Below are 2,821 nucleotides of genomic sequence, written 5' to 3'. Positions count from 1 at the left end.
CAAGTGGAATTTGGACTTTTTTGGAATTTGTGGGAAACGGATTAACTTCCCTTAATGGAGGGGAACATTTTCAGAATTTCTGGGAGGTTGGCATTCAATGACAGAGTTGAACCTCCCCTGGGAGTTCAGGGTTAATTGCTCTTTTCGTAGTATCTGCAAGGGAAGATTGGAACCCTTTGAGGGCTACGGTAGTAAAGGAAACAGCTTCAGTAAAAACTGGACAGAAGCATTCTCAGAAAATACTTGGGGATGATTGAGTTTAACTCACAGAGCTGAACATTCCTTTTGGTGGAGCAGTTTTGAAACACACTTTTTGTAGACTCTGCAGGTGGATATTTGGACCTCTCTGACGATTTCGTTGGAAACGGGATAACGTCACCTAACTAAACAGAAGCTTTCGCAGAAAAATCTTTCTGACGTTTGCATTCAAAGTCCAGAGTTGAGCCTTCCTTTGGTAGTTCACGTTTGAAACACTCTTTTTGGAGGACCTGCAAGTGGATATTTGGAGCACTTTGTGGCCTTCGTTCGAAACGGCTGTATCTTCACATAAAATCTAGACAGAAGCCTTCTCAGAAACTTCTCTGTGATGATTGCATGCAACTCACAGAGTTGAACATTCCTTTTGATAGAGCAATTTTGAAACTCTCTTTTGCTAGCATCTGCAAATGGATAGGTGGAACTCTGTGAAGACTTCTTTGGAAACGGGAATATCCTCACGTAAAAAGTAAACAGAAGCATTCTCAGAAACTCCTTTGTGGGGCTTGTGTTCAACTCCCAGAGTATAACATTGCTTTTCATAGAGCAGTTTTGAAACATTCTTTTCGTAGAGCATCCAGGTGGACATTTGGAGGGCTTTCAGGCCTGTGTTGGAAAAGGAAATATCTTCACATAAAAACTAGAGAGAAGCATTGTCAGAAACCTCTTGGTGATGATTGCATTCAACTCACGGAGCTGAGGATTCCTTTTGATGCAGCTGTTTGGAAACACTCTTTCGGTGGAATCTGCAAGCGGATATGTGGACCTCTTTGAACATTTCGATGGAAAAGGGATAATCTTCCCGTAAAAGCTAAACGGAAGCATGCTCAGGAACTTCTTTGTGAAGTTTGCATTCAACTCACAGAGTTGTACTTTCCTTTTGATAGAGCAGCTTTGAAACCCTCTCTTTCTAGCATCTGCAAGGGGACATTTGGAGGGCTTCGAGGCCTGGGGTGGAAAAGGAAATATCTTCTCATCAAAGCTACATGGAAGCATTCTCAGAAACTGCTTTGTGATGATTGCATTCAAGTCACCGAGTTGAACATTCCCTTTGATGGAGCCGTTTGGAAACACACTTTTGGTAGAATCTGAAAGGGGAGATTTGGACCGCTTTGAGGCCTATGGCAGTAGAGGATATAACTGCACATAAAAAGGAGACAGGAGCATTCCCAGGAAACACTTTGTGACGATTGAGTTCAATTCACAGAGCTGAACATTCCTTTGGATGGAGCAGTTTCAAAACACACTTTTTGTAGAATCTGCAAGTGGAGATTTGGACCGCTCTGAGGATTTCATTGGATACGGGAGAAAACTCACCTATGTAAACAGAAGCATTCTCAGAACCTTCTTCGTGATGCTTGCATTCAACTCACAGTGTTGAACCTTTCTCTGATAGTTCAGGTTTGAAACACTCCTTCTGCAGAATCTGCAAGTGGAGATTTGGACCTCTTTGAGGCCTATCGTAGTAAAGGAAAGAACTTCATCTAAAAACAAGACAGAAGTATTCTCAGAAAATTCTTTGTGATGATTGAGTTTAACTCACAGAGCTGAGCATATCTTTTGATGGATACGGGAGAAAACTCACGTATGTAAACAGAAGCATTCTCAGAACCTTCTTCCTGATGCTTGCATTCAACTCACAGTGTTGAACCTTTCTCTGATAGTTCAGGTTTTAAACACTCCTTCTGCAGAATCTGCAAGTGGAGATTTGGACCTCTTTGAGGCCTATCGTAGTAAATGAAAGAACTTCATCTAAAAACAAGACAGAAGCATTCTCAGAAAATTCTTTGTGATGATTGGGTTTAACTCACAGAGCTGAGCATATCTTTTGATGGATACGGGAGAAAACACACCTATGTAAACAGAAGCATTCTCAGAACCTTCTTCGTGATGCTTGCATTCAACTCACAGTGTTGAACCTTTCTCTGATAGTTCAGGTTTTAAACACTCCTTCTGCAGAATCTGCAAGTGGAGATTTGGACCTCTTTGAGGCCTATCGTAGTAAAGGAAAGAACTTCATCTAAAAACAAGACAGAAGCATTCTCAGAAAATTCTTTGTGATGATTGAGTTTAACTCACACAGCTGAGCATATCTTTTGATGGATACGGGAGAAAACTCACCTATATAAACAGAAGCATTCTCAGAACCTTCTTCGTGATGCTTGCATTCAACTCACAGTGTTCAACCTTTCTCTGATAGTTCAGGTTTTAAACACTCCTTCTGCAGAATCTGCAAGTGGAGATTTGGACCTCTTTGAGGCCTATCGTAGTAAAGGATATAACCTCATCTAAAAACAAGACAGAAGCATTCTCAGAAAATTCTTTGTGATGATTGAGTTTAACACACAGAGCTGAGCATATCTTTTGATGGAGCATTTTCAAAACACACTTTTTGTAGAATATGCAAGTGGATATTTGGACTTCCCTGAGAATTTCGTGGGAAACGGGATAAACCTCACATAACTGAAGAGAAACATTCTCAGAACTTCTTTGTGATGTTGGCATTCAACTGATAGAGTTGAACCTTCCCTTGTGAGTTCAGGTTGAATCGCTCTTTTCGTAGTAT

Source organism: Homo sapiens, chromosome 1 (genome assembly GCF_000001405.40).
Source record: "Homo sapiens chromosome 1, GRCh38.p14 Primary Assembly".
In the NCBI taxonomy this organism is placed as follows: domain Eukaryota; kingdom Metazoa; phylum Chordata; class Mammalia; order Primates; family Hominidae; genus Homo; species Homo sapiens.
This window is presented reverse-complemented; position numbering follows the sequence as displayed.